Source organism: Homo sapiens, chromosome 1 (assembly GCF_000001405.40).
Source record: "Homo sapiens chromosome 1, GRCh38.p14 Primary Assembly".
Classification (NCBI taxonomy): domain Eukaryota; kingdom Metazoa; phylum Chordata; class Mammalia; order Primates; family Hominidae; genus Homo; species Homo sapiens.
This window is the reverse complement of record NC_000001.11, coordinates 59,965,737-59,981,710: the sequence shown is the minus strand read 5'-3', so window position 1 is coordinate 59,981,710 and position 15,974 is coordinate 59,965,737. Positions and strand designations below refer to the sequence as shown.

Here is a 15,974-nt window from a genome sequence, read left to right as displayed (position 1 = left end):
AAGGCAAGGGGAAGGGGACTCTGAATATTGAACACACGCTGTGGGCCAGGTTCTGTGGTCTAATCTAATACTCGTGACAGCCCTGAGAGGTGGGAATTCTTTCTACTTTATGAATGAAGAGGTGAGGCTTGGCAAAAGAGTGGTATAGCCATGGCTTAATCACAGATCTTCCCAGCCCCAAGGCCTGTGATGACCCCCACCCTGGGCCACCTGGAGGAACATGTAATGGCCTGGGTGTAGCTTCATTCTGGAGCTTCTAGTTACTGTGGGCCTCTCCGTCTCAGGAAGGAAAAGAGGAGCTCAGCCCTGCCTATTTCTGTCTTTTTTATTCAACAAGCATTTACTGAGCACCTACTGTGTGTTAGGCCTCAGTGAATAGTTTGAGTGGATTTCCAAAGATATGTCCAGACTTCCTTGCTAATGTTCCTATCCAAACACCACTAGACTTCCTTCCAATACTGACGCTTACCTGGAATTGGTCTGCTGGTAGCTTTTCTCCCTAGTACTTAGGGGATCAGAAAATACATGTCCATTTTCATCTACCTTTCTAATGCCTCAATCTCTCTCATCCTGAGAATGCCAATCAGCCAACACCTTGAATTCCCTCAGCTGTCTCTGGGATCCTGATGAGGCATTGTTACTTATTCCTATATAGATAGCTTAGCTGTTCGTTGACACGAGGCCATCACAGATACTGCAGACATACCACACGGACACTTTAGAACAAAGCATTTGTCATTCTTATCCATCCATCCATTTGTCAGTTCAACACACACAAACCCGTCACTCTGCTTGGTGCTGTGCTGGGTACTGGGCACACGTGGATGAGTAAGGCAACATCACAATCTATGAGAGAAGGCAGACACTAACGCTGTTGAGTACGATGGTGTGCAAGTGTTGTGTGTGAGGAAAACCAGGAGTGCTTAGCCACAGCAGAGAGGCACATGGCTCAGCACAGTAAGAGAAAGGCAGCTGTTGTCAGGGAAGGCTTCCTGGAGTATTTAGGACTAAGCAGAGTCCTGAGAAAGAAAAAGCAATTGGCCAGAGTGGGGATCGGGCGGGGTATTTGCGTGGCAGGGATGAATTTTCTAGGTAGAACGAGCAAGATAAGAGTGACTCTGAGACATGAGTTTGCTCTCTGTTCTGACAATTGTAAACTATGGTTACCTACACACATGAGATGCCAGGTGAAAGTGAAGGAGGCAAAACCAGAGAAAATAGGAGCAGATCTTAAAGACCCTTGATGCTCTTCTAAGACTCAAAACAGGGGGCAAAGGAGTGTGATGTAGTCAGATGAATGTTTTGATTACTTGGGGGCCATTTGAGGAGATAGGTCAGAGACTCAAAAGTGAAAGCAGGAAAACCTACTACATACCACTTGTGTAAATTGGATAAAACATTTAATCATATTGAATTTCAGTCTCTTCATCTGTAAAGTATAGGCCCTTGCAGGAGCTCTTCTGCAGGAGCATTATAAGGGTTGGATACAACATATAGAAAGCCTTACACACAATGTCTGACACTGAACAGGTCTCATAATGGTAGCTGTGTACTTTATAATATTCATGTTCTGTAATAATCTGATCATAAAGACAAAGGAACTTTCAGAGAGATGTGCCTTTCTTAGGAAGGGCATGTGGGATAATGCCATCAGGAGAACAGCTTCAAGGGAGTCATTAACACACACCAGTAAATAATTTATGCATTTGGACCATTTTTCAAAAGCCCTATTATTATTCCTACTCCCTGACTCACAGTGACGCTGGTATTCGCAGCGCATTAGTTAATTTCATGGCCCTGTTGTGAATCTTACAATATTTCATCCCCCTAATTCAAAATATTCATTCCAAGTGGTTCCAACTTCACAAATAAATAATTCCTGTTGGAAAATGGGAGTTTTTCCATCTGCCCAGCCCATTTTCCATCTGTTCCTACAAGCTCATGGCAGGACAGAGCTGGGTCATGAGGCCCTGTTGATTGGTCCTGATTTAAGAAGAAATGGCTTTCTCCCAGATGGATTGCGCGTTAGTGATAAAGATTAGTTTCCACTGTTATCAGTTACTGTGTTATGAGACAGTTTTAAGGATCTGGAAAACAATCGAAAAGTACATGACAGAAGAAAGAAGAGAAGTGTTGTGTTGTCTTAGCTCCCACGATGAGTTTGACATTCTTCTAGGCACCATATACACCATGCATACATCATTTCATAACTGCAACAACACAACAGGTATATGTGATTATGTCTATCTGACACATGAAAGAAGTAAGGATGAGAGGGGCTTAAAAATCTGCCTAAGGTCTCATAATTTGCAAATAAGGGAGCTAGGGCTGATTGCAAAACCCAGGCTCAGTCCACAACACAAGAGATTCAAAAGAGCCTCGTGCTTTAAGAATGGAAAGTATATTGGCCATAGAATTGTGATTATGTTTTTTTTGGTAACCATGTAATATAATAGATGATCCCACGAAATAAGAGCAATTTATTTCAGATCTTTATGTGATGTTGGAGCTAGACAAAGGAAGAGAGTCACTTCCTGATAATCAGAATATAGATAGAGTCTCATCTTAGAAAAAGCAGTGGACTATGAATTGGGAAACTCGAACTCATATTCTAGGATCCTCAGCTTATTGTCTTAACAGCAAGGACAAACCACTTAACTGTCTGGGCTTTGGTTTCCACAACTGGAAAGAGATAGTTCACATTATGTTGCCTCTTCTGTACCTCACAAGGTCTAGAAAGGCACACCTATAGGAAGCATGTAGGACTACAGAGAGTAGTACAGTTTGTCAATGATAACATTTCATGCAAATATTAGGTAACACTTTTATTTCTGTCCCTGCCTGCAAGAAAATAAGGAGCTTGTGTCAGAGTGTAAATCTAGGCAATGCTTCCTTCATTGAGAAAGTCTGGCAACAGAAAAATAGTAGCGGAACTTAATGGTGTACTTAGTGATGTAATTGATTTACTTCATCACAGACTAAGCAAATAGTCCATGGACCAATGCCAGCCTGTGATCTCCATGTTGAGTCTTGCTGTATAGACCACCTTGAAGAAAGCAGCGTGTGAGCATTGATGAGAGAATGCCTGGGAATAGAGTCTCAGATCATTTCTTATGAACTTTGTATGACCTTGATCATCTTGCTAAATCTCAATTTCTTCTTTAGAATGCAGTTAACAATGCCAAATTGGTAGAGTAGTTATGAAGATGAAATGAGAATACATTTGGACCCTTAGAATAGGGCCTAGGACGTATTAGCCAGTGGGGAAAAATTTTACTTATTATTATCATCACCACCATCATCATTCACCCAAAGCATCTGTCCTCCTGGTCTACCACAGTTTGTGGATTCCCATAATTCAGGTATATCCCAGCTGTTTGTCACACATCAAGGAGGTTGTGCCACTGACACTTAGTGAGTAGAGGCCAGGGATGATTCAAAACATCCTGCAATATCCAGGACAGCCCCTCACAACACGGAATTACCCAATCCAAAATGTCAATAGTGCTGAGGTTGAGAATATGAGTCATTCCTTTGGGTTGAGTGAGGTCCCTGGAAATCAGATCAAGATTTAATAACAGATTTTCAGGCATACCAAACTTGTACTTTCATAGAGTATTAGCCCTAAAAGAGACCTTTGATGTTATATGACCCCAATCTGTTTTACTGAAAATAAACTTTAGAAGAATGAGAACTTACCTTCTTTCAATCATCCCTCCTAAAAGCACACTTCCCCAGATGGATTAGAGAGGCCCAAGGTCAAGGCCATCCGGCTACCAAGTGAGAGAGCTACAATTGCATCCCGTGTTTCTGGATCCTGTGGCTGAGGCTAAAGAAGGGGGAAGGTAGGATAGCCCAGGGCGTCTGTAGTGCAGAGACCAAGCCTCCACATCTCTTGACCCCTCACCCCACAGAATCAGGAACAGTGGAGGGAGGTGTCCATAAAATAGTATAGTAGTAAAAAGCACTAGACTTGATGTCAGAAGGCTTGGAAATGTGTACCCTCTCTCTGACACTTTCTCTGTGTTATTGGCCAGTAATATAAGGCATAGAGTCCTAGAACGTTGGCACTGAAATGTCTTTAGAACACTTCAGGTGCAAAGTTAGCAAAGTTCATTCTATCTCTACCTATCTATTCATCTATTGGTCTATTATATATATATATTTCTATCTCTGTATCTCTCTGTCCTTTAAAAAAAAAAGGGTCATGAATGTACTTACCTCATAAAACTGTTTGAAATATCAAATGGGACTAAAAGTGCAATGCAAGTTGTTACTAATGCTTAAAAGTACAGACTTTGGAACCACGCAGCCTGAGTTCAAATCCTGGCTCTGCCAATTACTAGCTCTGTGACCCTGGGGAAGTCACTTAACCATGCTGTGCCTATTTCCTCATATCTAAACTGGTCACAGTAATATCATTACCTGCTTCGTGCTAATATTGTGAGAATTTAGTGAGTTAGTATACCTAAAATGCATATAGAACAATGCCAGGCTCGTACGAAGTTTCATGCAGAGTATTAGCTGTTATTGTAACTAACCATCCTTTGTCCTTGTTCTTCCTACTAAAGCCAAAAAGCCAACCAAGGCATTTTTAAAGTAAATTGTGGAACTCTACAATGGCTAGTAAGAAGGCAAGTTTCTTCTCCCAAATTCTGCCACGCTCACCTTCCTGCCAAATCCTATTTTAGTATTAGGAGGCAACATCGCCCTCTGCTGCCCAGAACTGAAACAGCACGTTCAGCCCCTGTGCCGGCTTCGTTACTCCCGTCCTTTCTGCTCTGCCAATCTTGCCTCCTGAAAATGCGCTTCCCAGACAGATGAAATTGCTTCTATGTACTAATATCATCAGCGAAGCATTTTCCTAAGCAGCTGACTCATGACTTTTTTTTTTGCAATCAAAAGGAACCATCTTTCTAGGCTCTAGTTAGAATGGGAAGAGCTGCCTGTTCTCCAGTTCCCAGTAGGAAGCGACGCTCTGGAGCCCCAGGAACTGAGGAGGGCATCCTCTCCACCTGCAAAGAAGCTGCGGAATTGGAGCGTTATAACAAATTATTCCCATCCACCAATCACTTTGTAATGTGGCTGTTTTCAAGGTAAACTCATTCGTCTTCTTGAACAGATGGCAAAAATAAATAAATAAATAAATTCTGTCTTTGCATATGTGACTCCCTCCAGAAAACTCTATCCCAGATTCAGAAGTGGGCGAACAGGCTTTTGACTGAGATGAGCGCGACAGCTTGAGTAAAGTGGACTGTCTCTATTTCCTCAGAAAGAAGGCCAGCATTCATTCAAAACCTACCACACCAGACGTTTTACGAGTATTATCTCATTTCATCTTTACGACAGCCTTGTGAGCTAAAATTCATCATGCCCAGTAATAATGCAGGAACTGAGGCTCTTAAAGGTTCAAGAATGTGGCCCAAAGCCAAACAACTGATAGATGCTAGGGCCAAGGATTTTGGTTTGGCTCTTGCTGACTCCAAAGTTCACCATACCTCAATGTCTCCTAGGGACTCAAAGTCACACTGGGAAAACGGTGACCTGCAGATTGGAGAGATAACACTAGAAATAATCAGAGAGGAGGAGTGTTTCATGTGTGGTTCGGAGAAAAAGGGATCCTCTATTCCCCTATTCACAGGGAGCTTCTAAAGGGTCTGAGGTGGGACACCCCTCCAACCCTTACCCAATAAAGACCCGCAGTCATCAAGAAGGACTCTGGGTCATCCAGGGCTGCCTAGAACGTGAAAAACCTTCAAAGGGATGCAATGTACTGGCAAATTCTACCAATATTTAAGGAAGAAATAACATCAATTCCACACAAACCCTTCCAGAATATAGAAGAGGAAGAAGGAGCACAGCCCAAATCATGTTTTATCCAGATACCAAAACCAAAGACAATGTGAAGAAATCTACACACCAACAGCCCTCGTGAATATAGACCCCAAATCCTTCACACAATACCAGCAAATCAAATCCAACAATTCGTAAGATACATAATACCAAGTGGGGCCTCTCCTGGAAATGCAAGGTTGATTCAACATCCTAAAGCCAATCAATGTAATTCACCATATCAGCAGACTAAAGACGAAAAATTACATGAATAGACAGGAAACAATGGAGTCCAACTCTGACACTCTCCAGATGAGAAGCCCAAGGACCAGAAGTGAGATGAGATGTCCCAGTGTCACAAATTACTGACAAATCTGTATGTAGAATGCAGCTCTCCACACCACAGAGCCGTGTGAAGCTGCTGCCCATGCTGGGTGCAGGGAAGTCCTTAAGTATGAAGGAGCAGTCGCCAAGAGGCTTCATTCACAGCTCCACATAGCTGTAACTGAAGGGAGGGAGTGGGAAGCAGCTGGCTCCAGCCCACACCAGCTAGAAAATATCTGAGGTTCACAGACATGAGCATCAAGGGAGCGTGAGGTTGGTGGTAGGGGTTATTTTTTCCCTGCAAATTCCCAAAAGAGGTGCAAATTATAACTGCTGAAAATGTGATATAAGGAATTCACTTTTACATATGGTGGCATGTGCCTGTAGTCCCAGCTACTCGGGAGGCTGAGATGGGAGGATCACTTAAGGCCAGGAGTTGGAGACCAGCCTGGATCACATTGCAAGATCCCCATTTCTAAAACAACAACAAAAAAAAATTAGCCAGGCATTGTGGCACATGCCTGTAGTACCAGCTATTCTGGAGGATGAGACTGAAGGATTGCTTGAGTCCGGGAGTTTCAGGCTGCAGTAAGCTATGCTCATAGGGTGCCCCCACTAAGTTCAGCATCAATGTGATGACCTTCTAGAAACCAGGGATTACTAGATTGCCTAAGGAGGGGTGAACTGGTGCAGTTTGGAAACAAAGCAGGCCAAAACCCCAGTGCTGATCAGTAGTGGGATTGTGCCTGTGGATAGCCACTGCACTGCAGCCTGGCAACATAGTGAAATCCAATCTCTCAAAAAACAAAAAAGAAAAGAAATGTACTTCATAATTTGAGAAATACAAGCCATAGTTATTTCTTTTTAAACAGAGTTTTCAAAAATTTGGGGATTTTCATCAAGACACAAGGAAAGGCTACAAATACGTAAGTATAACTAAAATGATAGGGACTCCTCAATCTAACCATCTCCAACCAGGTGGGTTTCAGCTCTGTGACCTTCACAAATGTTCACTCTTGTCAATACCTTACATTAAACCATCCGATGTCCATTTTTTCACTCCTCTTTAGTAACTTGATATCTTGGTCACAATGACAAAACTGATGGTTTATTTACTCTTAGTTGTGACTCTTGGAAAATAATGTCAAAGTCAAAATGTCTTTTTTTCCCTTCCCACCCCAAAATTACATACAGAGAGAGAGAGAGAGAGAGACACTCACACACACACATGCACACACACTTTTCTCCCTTCTCTGCCCCTTTCTTTTCTTGGTTTGGAACTCTTGGGTAAGGTGTATACAAATTCACTTTTGTTTCCGAGGCAATAATCACTGGCCAACTAGCCTCAGCTCCAGAATCTTTAAAGTGAAGTGGAAATTGGATATACTTCTTCTCTGTGTGTTTCCTCTTAAACTAGTCCTTTTAAGTCAGCTCAACTTGTTTTGGAGCGTTATCATTTAAAAGGTACTTCAATACTTAATGCTCCCAGTTATCTAGTATCCCCAATTTACAGACAAGGAAATGAGCACAACAGGGTGAAGTAAGTTTCCTCCACCTGCTCAGTTGGATACAATAGGAGCCAGGCACTTGGGTCATGCTGCTGGATATAGAGGTATTATGGCATCCAACCCAAGGAGGGACATCTCATGGGCAACACTGGGCAAATATATAAATAGTGACTTAATCATAGCAACTATTTAATAGGTTCTTACTGTGTTCCATGCACTGAGCTACATGTTTTTTCTTCAGTAGCTCAGTTAATCCACATAGTCACCCCATGGAGGAGGTGTGATTATCCCCATTTCACTAAAGGAAGAACTGAAGCTGAGAGGGGTCATTTAACTTGGACAAAGTTACACATAACCAGGAAGTGGCTGCATCTTGCAAAGTCAGGGGTCCTGAAAGAGATGCAAATAGCATGCTGTGGGGGCAAGTGTGCAGTGGGAGTGGGGGTGTTAAGGAGGCAGTTTATGGTTGAGAAGTGACCTCATATGCTTGGGGAAGGGTATATCAAATACGATTATTTGGCAGTTGACAGGTATCTTGATAGATGAACCGGATTTGAAAAGGTAGACCTGAATGAGGGAAGAAGAGCAGGTTTCTAGATGGGGCAATGCCACAAACAGAGGCTCAGGGGTAGAAAAGTGTACTTTGTATACAGATCATAATAATCCTGTTTGGAGGGAAGACCAGCTATGAAGTGTTTTGCAAGAAATGTGACACTAAGGGTAAAGAATGGAAGTCTGATTTTATGTAATTTTCCATGTAAATTAAAGTCAAGATTATCCTTGTAAATATCATGGTTCCTGAACTCAAGAAACTTGCACTCTGTTGGGAAGATAAACAACTAAACAAGCAATTACAGCACAGCAGTAAGTTCTATGAAAGGTTAGGCACAGAGTGGTCCTTCTAACTCAGAGTTAACAGAGACATGTTACAGAGTGATGTCCAAGCCGAGAACTGAGGGACATGTGGGTGTTGTCCACACAATGAAGGACACGGGGTACTAAGTAGAGGGAACAGCTTGTGGGAAGGCTCAGACTGGAGTCAGACCATACATCCCTTGTTTGTGAGGGCTGCAGGTGTTAAGCACAGTGGAAGAGGAGAGAGCAGGTGGGAACTGATAACATGTGAGGCCAGGGGCCTACACGGGGTCAGCTCATGATGAGACTGTGTGCCATGTTAAAGAGAGTATGTGGTAAGGCGCCCTGGCCCAGTGCAAGCATGGGCTGGCTTCCCACTGCAGTCAGCAAATCAATTACGCCCTCCACCGACTTTCGCCTTGTGTATTTAGAATGCATGGAGTTAGCCTGCCAAACATCTGCTCTCGCTATTAAGCATGCCATGGTAACCATTGCACTCCCGTGCGTCAGCGCCACCAGGATTGGTAATAATCACAAGTGTCAAAAACGAGAAAGAATGGAGAAGGAAAGCTGTGCAAAATCCAGCGGCAAGATGATTGGGCTGGCAGCTCCACTCCAGGGCCCCCGCCAGCTGCACCTTCTGCTGCCCCTGTTGGGGGCAGGGGAATTGATGCCGCTCTGGCCTCCTCTTGCCCCTTCTGTTGATCCCTTTCCCTGTATTATTCATCCACTGCTTCCACCGACATTGGAAAATGTGCCGTGCCTTTGCCAGAACAACATATGTGCCCCTGCGTCATTGTGTGTGATAGATAAACCCGCCAACAGCTCACCAGACCCAGGGGGCCTCTGGGTGAAGACCCCGCATTGACACAGGCAGGCAGCATGGTGTCCTGGCAGAGGTGCAGCTCTGAAGGCAAACAGACCTGGCTTAGGATTTCAGCCGCGCAACTGCACAGCCTTAAGACCTTGGGCAAAACTCTCACCCTCTCTCAACCCTACTTGCCTCATTTGTGAAATAAGAGGAGGAACACTTACCTCAGGACTGTTCGGGGGCTTAGAGATAATGAATGGGAGATGGCACAGCACCTTTCACAGAAGCAGAGTTCAAGGTTAGCTAGTATGATATTTTTTAAATTGAGCTCTCAAAAAAATGCTAGGCACAATGCTGAGATCTTTATTCAAATTATCGAATCGAATATATATATAAATATTATATATAAGTCTAGTTCTGCTGCTAGAGCCACATATAATAAAATAAGCCTGTTTCCTCTTCCAAACCAAAGCCCTTCAGAAAAGCAGGGCGGGCTCCCATAGCCCTCGAATCCTCTTTTCCCCAGGAAAAGGGTCCTGAGTCCCTGAGCAGGGCTCATGCAGCCTGGTTCTCACACAGCCACTCCCCGCAGGGCACCCTCCACGCTGGCCAGTGTCTCTCTCAGAGATGATGCCCAGGTGGGCTTTATGTCTTTCCTTCCAGCCCTAGGAGTCACTGCATTTCGGGGCGCACACGGAGGACCTGGGCCTGGAGCTGTCAGGGCTGGTGCCTTCATCCGGCACACACCCCATCGTTTTTCCTTCTGTCCCTGGACGCCGCCTCCCAGCCGAGAGCGCGGTAACATGGGCTCCAGCGCCCTCTAGTGGAAGGCGAAGGAAATCTGCGGTCAAGGAGCTCAGGATCAGCGTGGGAAGAGGGAGGAAGAGAGAAAGTGGCTGATTATCTGCGTGAAAATCATAATTATTAAAAATGCCCGCCCAATCCACCCCCGTAGCTGCCGTTAGTTTGTGTCTGGATTGAATGTCAGTCTCGCCAGGTTAGTGTGAGATGGGTGACTTCCCAGAGGACTGCTATTTCTAAAGTCAGTCAGGAAAGAGGCAAGGGTGTCCTCACCTCCCATGCTTTTAATTAAACCTCATTATCCACCTCCCCACCAGCGTTCCTTCAGCTATGCTAAGAATATAAGGAGAAGGCATATTTGAACATATCGGGGCCCAAGCATCAAAAGTAGAGTGATCCCGTTTGGCACAGCTGCCCCATAGGCTCTTGGGGGGGATGGCAGGAAGGGGTATGATGAGCAGGAAGAGAACACCCGAGGCAGTAGTGGGGGATTACTGGGAACAACATGAGGTTAGATAGCAACTTGAGTTGGCGCTCGGGGTTACTGAAATACCCACCACTGGCCCCATCCTCCTGCCTTATGCAAATGAGTGGCTTCTTTCTCTACCAATAACTTTCTGGGGGTCATTGGGCAAGTCGTTTCACCTCCTGGGCAAGGTAGTGTCAGAGGTCCTCCATTCAGTTGTAATATTCAGTGAATATTCAATGAGCTCTAACATCAGATGGTCACCAAATCAATTTCAGCCATCTAGCAGACTGCTGCCAGACTGGGCCACAGGTCTACTGCACTGTTTTTTGTTTTGTTTTGTTTTTGTTTGTTTGTTTGTTTGTTTGTTTTAGACAGAGACTTGCTCTGTCTCCCAGGCTGGAGTGCAACCTCCACCTCCCAGGTTCAAATGATTCTCCTGCCTCAGCCTCCCAAGTAGCTGGGATTACAGGTGCCTGCCACCAGGCCCAGCTAATTTTTGTATTTTTTAGTAGAGACGGGGTTTCGCCATGTTGGCCAGGCTGGTCTTGAACTCCTGACTTCAAGTGATCACTCGCCTCGGCCTCCCAAAGTGCTAGGAAAACATAGAACTAGAACTATCATCAAATATCTGATGTAGCATTGACGCCATGGTTTTCTTCCTTCATGGTAACAGGGCGGTCTTCAACAAGCCAAAAATGAAGAAAAACATGGAGGTTTTTTTTTTATTGCCTTCATTTAGTATCTTTACAATCAAAGGAGTTTACATGCAGGAATCAGACTCAGAAATTACACTGTCTTATCCCTCATATGCAGGGTTATATAATAACAGCTTTCCCAGATTAAAATTCTTCAATGGTTTCAAAATTTCATAAGCGTATCATTGAGAGGTGACAGCGTGCTGGCAGTCCTCACAGCCCTCGTTCACTCTTGGCGCCTCCTCTGCCTGGGCTCCCACTTTGGCGGCACTTGAGGAGCCCTTCAGCCCACCACTGCACTGTGGGATCCCCTTTCTGGGCTGGCCAAGGCCAGAGCCAACTCCCTCAGCTTGCAGGGAGGTGTGGAGAGAGAGGCGCGAGCCGGAACCGGGCCTGCGCGCGGCGCTTGCGGGCCAGCTGGAGTTCCGGGTGGGCGTGGGCTTGGTGGGCCCCGCACTTGGAGCAGCCGGCCGGCCCTGCCCGCCCCGGGCAGTGAGGGGCTTAGCACCCGGGCCAGCGGCTGCGGAGGGTGTACTGGGTCCCCCAGCAGTGCCAGCCCACCGGCGTTGTGCTCGATTTCTCACCGGGTCTTAGCTGCCTTCCTGCGAGGCACGGCTCGGGACCTGCAGCCCGCCATGCCTGAGCCTCCCCCTGTTCCGTGGGCTCCTGTGCGGCCCGAGCCTCCCCGATAAGCGCCGCCCCCTGCTCCACGGCGCCCAGTCCCATCGACCACCCAAGGGCTGAGGAGTGCTGGGCGCACGGCACGGAACTGGCAGGCAGCTCCACCTGCAGCCCCGGTGCGGATCCACTGGGTGAAGCCAGCTGGGCTCCTGAGTCTGGTGGGGAGGTGAAGAACCTTTATGTCTAGCTCAGGGATTGTAAATACACCAATCCGCACTCTGTATCTAGCTCAAGGTTTGTAAACACACCAATCAGCACCCTGTGTCTAGCTCAGGGTTTGTGAATGCACCAATCCACACTCTGTATCTAGCTACTCTGGTAGGGCCTTGGAGAACCTTTGTGTCCACACTCTGTATCTAGCTAATCTGGTGGGGAGGTGGAGAACCTTTGTGTCTAGCTCAGGGATTGTAAACGCACCAATCAGCGCCCTGTCAAAACAGACCACTCCGCTCTACCAATTAGCAGGATGTGGGTGGGGGCCAGATAAGAGAATAAAAGCAGGCTGCCCAGGCCAGCAGTGGCAACCCGCTCGGATCCCCTTTCATACTGTGGAAGTTTTGTTCTTTCTCTGTTTGCAATAAATCTTCCTGCTGCTAACTCTTTGGGTCCACACTGCCTTTATGAGCTGTAACACCGCGAAGGTCTGCAGCTTCACTCCTGAAGCCAGCAAGACCACGAGCCCACCAGGAGGAACGAACAACTCCAGACGCACTGCCTTAAGAGCTGTTAACACTCACGGCGAAAGTCTGCAGCTTCACTCCTGAGCCAGCGAGACCACATAACCCACCAGAAGGAAGAAACCCCGAACATATCCGAACATCAGAAGGAACAAACTCCAGGTGCGCCACCTTAAGAGCTATAACACTCACCGCGAGGGTCCGCGGCTTCATTCTTGAAGTCAATGAGACCAAGAACCCACCAATTCGAGACACATCATGAACCTTGGTTGGAGCAGCTCGGAGAGGCACATGCTCATCACAAAGCTGGCACAGAATTGCTGTCTCAGTGACCTGCATGTGCTGGTTGGTCCCCCCTCGGGCCTTTTACACATGTCCACCCCTCCCACAGCTCCATCCTCTGGTGTCACTGTCCGTGGAGCCACACAAACTTCTCATGCTCTGCAGCCAATGGTGATTAACGGAACTGGGATGCCCCATACTCTGCAAGGAACTCCCTGGAGGGAGAAATCTTCTGGAGTATGAGCCAGCAATTAGCTGCCCTGTTCAGGCTGTGTGCCCACCGCCTCATCTCTTCTCGGTGGGACTCCAGGCCCTCCAAGCGTCCTGACAGCAGGCCTCAGCCATGAGGGTCCAGGTACTTAGGTGTGTGGGAAGATTGGGACCAAGAGGGGAATGGTGGGCTGTTGGGGAGGCAAGACAGAAAAAGCAAGGGTTTGAGGAGAGCGACTAGAGAGAGGAAAAGGGAATAATGTGGGAAAGTCAGTGCCATAAAATAAGTCCAAATATTTTCATCTGACTCCAATCAAATAATCTCATCTCTTGTTTGGGTGCTTTGAAGATCTGTTTTAAAGAAACTTTTCTGGGAAAGGAAAGAGTCAGGCAGTACCAACCTTTTCATGAGAGCTATAGAATGGTTTCAAATAAGCCAATTCAGATTTATCTCTGTCTCCTTTAATGGTATCATCCACAGCTGGAGATCCCCGTGCACAATTACCTGCGTCACTTTCAGTTTACCTTCCTCTTGTCTGGAAGAACAGAGAATTCTTGCAATAGAAGCTTTGTGATATCACAAAGCTGGGGACTTACTGGAAAAATGTGAGACTCACACACCTGGCCAGGTTGGTAGACCGTGCAGCTGTTTGTCTGTTTATATATAGTGAAAAAGTTGAGTCTTTGATCTTGATCTTAAAACACAAATGATTCTGATTTCAGATTTAAGGAAATATAAATAAAACAATTTTATTTAAAAGGCCAGTATTTCAGTACTTACAAATAGCATGTTACAGTGTAATCCTCCCACGTCCATACCCAGTGCAGCCTATTTCTTCTCATGAGATAGGGACATGAAATGAGCTGCGCTCCCATAACTGAGACACAGGAGGCAGAGGCTTTGCTGAGTGTGTTTTCCATCTCATTCAAAATTAGAGCCTAGAAAGCCCAGCCTTGCTCAGGGATATATGCTCAGAAAGACGACACACACAAAGGCAAGTCTGGTCTGCAGAAGGCAGATAACAAGGCAGGTGCAGGCAAGCAGAGGCCCCAGCAGTCTGGAAAGGAAACACAGCCCACAGCACGCCTTGATAACAGAATCCCTGTCCCTGCTGCTTGTGGTAGGCCATGTTAATGCAGCTTAAGGGTTATTTTCTCCTTCAAAGAATAGGTCGAGTTTTAAAACCCCATCTTCTTCCAGCCGACAGGCTCATGCTTTGCCAAGCTCTGTTAAACACTGACTCATTGGAAAGGAACAGCCTTTCCAAAGAGGAAATTGGATGTATATTTGTGTAAACCTCTTTTAAGAGGTTTGCATAAACCCCTTGTGATTACATGGCCTGGAGATTTGTTCCTGGCTTTGTGGCTCCTCGAGCAAGAGCTTTCTTTAGTGGTTATCTCAGCTCATTCTTAAAACTCGTGTAAGCTTTTGTGTCTGGAGTTCTCAGCCTAAACCATAAAACTACATCTGCTCAAAGGCTGGCTGGTTCAGAGATGGAGGCCAAGGTCATATTTCAGGGGAGAAAAACAGAGAAGGTTGGATATACATTGTAAAAGTAAAATGATTTGTTTGAGGAGTAGTTTTGCCTGAAGAGCTTGGATTTCCTTAATCTAAAGAACTTGTGCCTTTCAACCACCCACCACCAATACTTAGAAAGGCCAGGACTTCATTATAAACAACCATCCAGAAAGTAACAAATTCAGTCAAATGTGTTCGGTTTAGTGATATGGGTGAAAATTTATGTCACTTACCTTTTCTGCTTGGCCAAAGTGAATTCAACCAAACTAGCTGGTGTGTGAAGACAGTCACAGATAACGTTCATCTTCCTCTGCTGACGCCTACCTTTTGGCAAAGGTGTTGCTACTAAAGAAATTCAGCTGCTTTTTGTTTTCTTAATTGGCCCCACCTGCATTTTTTCTCATAAAACCTACTTAGTCCTCACCAACAACCACCCAGCAGTTTTGTTACATGTTTGTTCATAGCACATTTCATGTTGCATTAGGCAAAAACAGTGTCATAAAGTGGAAAGAACACCAGCTTTGGAGTCAAAGACCTGTGTTTGGGTCTCAGTTCTGCCATTACCAGCTGTGTAATCTACGTGACTTTCAGTTTCCTCATCTGTAAACTGGAAATGGTAGGAAGAAGAAATATCTACATCATGGGATTGCTTGACAATCCCATAAAAAACTTTAAATATTTTATGGTACCCAGGACATACCAAGTCTTTCATTAATGTCTCCATGAAAGGATATAAGTAGAGAATGCCAGGAAGGCCTTTGGAAAGAGATAAAGTTGAGGAAGGAGAGGAGTGCTCTAATGAAAAGTTTAGTTAACATGAAAAGTCTGGGCTGAGCTTATGTTACCATAAGACAGAATCAAGCTTAACCACTATTTCTCTCTGCCACCATCTTGCTCCTGGACCAACTAATGACAGGACAAGTGGGATCTATGATAAATGTGAAGGTAGCATCAGATCTTAAACATTACAAGCCTTCCAAAATAAATTAACCCTGCCACACACTAAGGACAAGAGAGCTTACCAATGGTTTCACAATTTACTCAACTAACATAAAATCACAAAGCTTCATGATCGTCAGAATTTGGGTACACCCAGGCTGGGCATGGTGACTTACACTTGTAATCCCAGCACTTTGGGAGGCTGAGGCAGGTGGATCACCTGAGGTCAGGAGTTTGAGACCAACCTGACCAACATGACGAAGCCCCGTCTCTACTAGAAATACAAAAATTAGCTGGGCACGGTGGGGGGTGCCTGTAATCCCAGCTACTCGGGAGCCTGAGACATGAGAATAGCTTGAACTTGGGAGGCA

The 15,974-nt window shown here is 45.5% G+C and overlaps 1 protein-coding gene and 1 pseudogene across 1 annotated transcript in view; both read left to right on the top strand.

Annotated features, from left to right (window-relative positions):
• RN7SL475P (RNA, 7SL, cytoplasmic 475, pseudogene) lies at positions 6,657-6,954 on the top strand (annotated as a pseudogene).
• CYP2J2 (cytochrome P450 family 2 subfamily J member 2) overlaps positions 12,499-15,974 on the top strand; it is a 75,905-nt gene continuing 72,429 nt past the window's right edge. The window contains exons 1-2 of the mRNA XM_047447499.1: positions 12,499-13,298; positions 13,627-13,774. The gene's annotated coding sequence lies outside the window, so the exon portion shown is untranslated. The remainder of the gene's footprint in view (positions 13,299-13,626; positions 13,775-15,974) is intronic.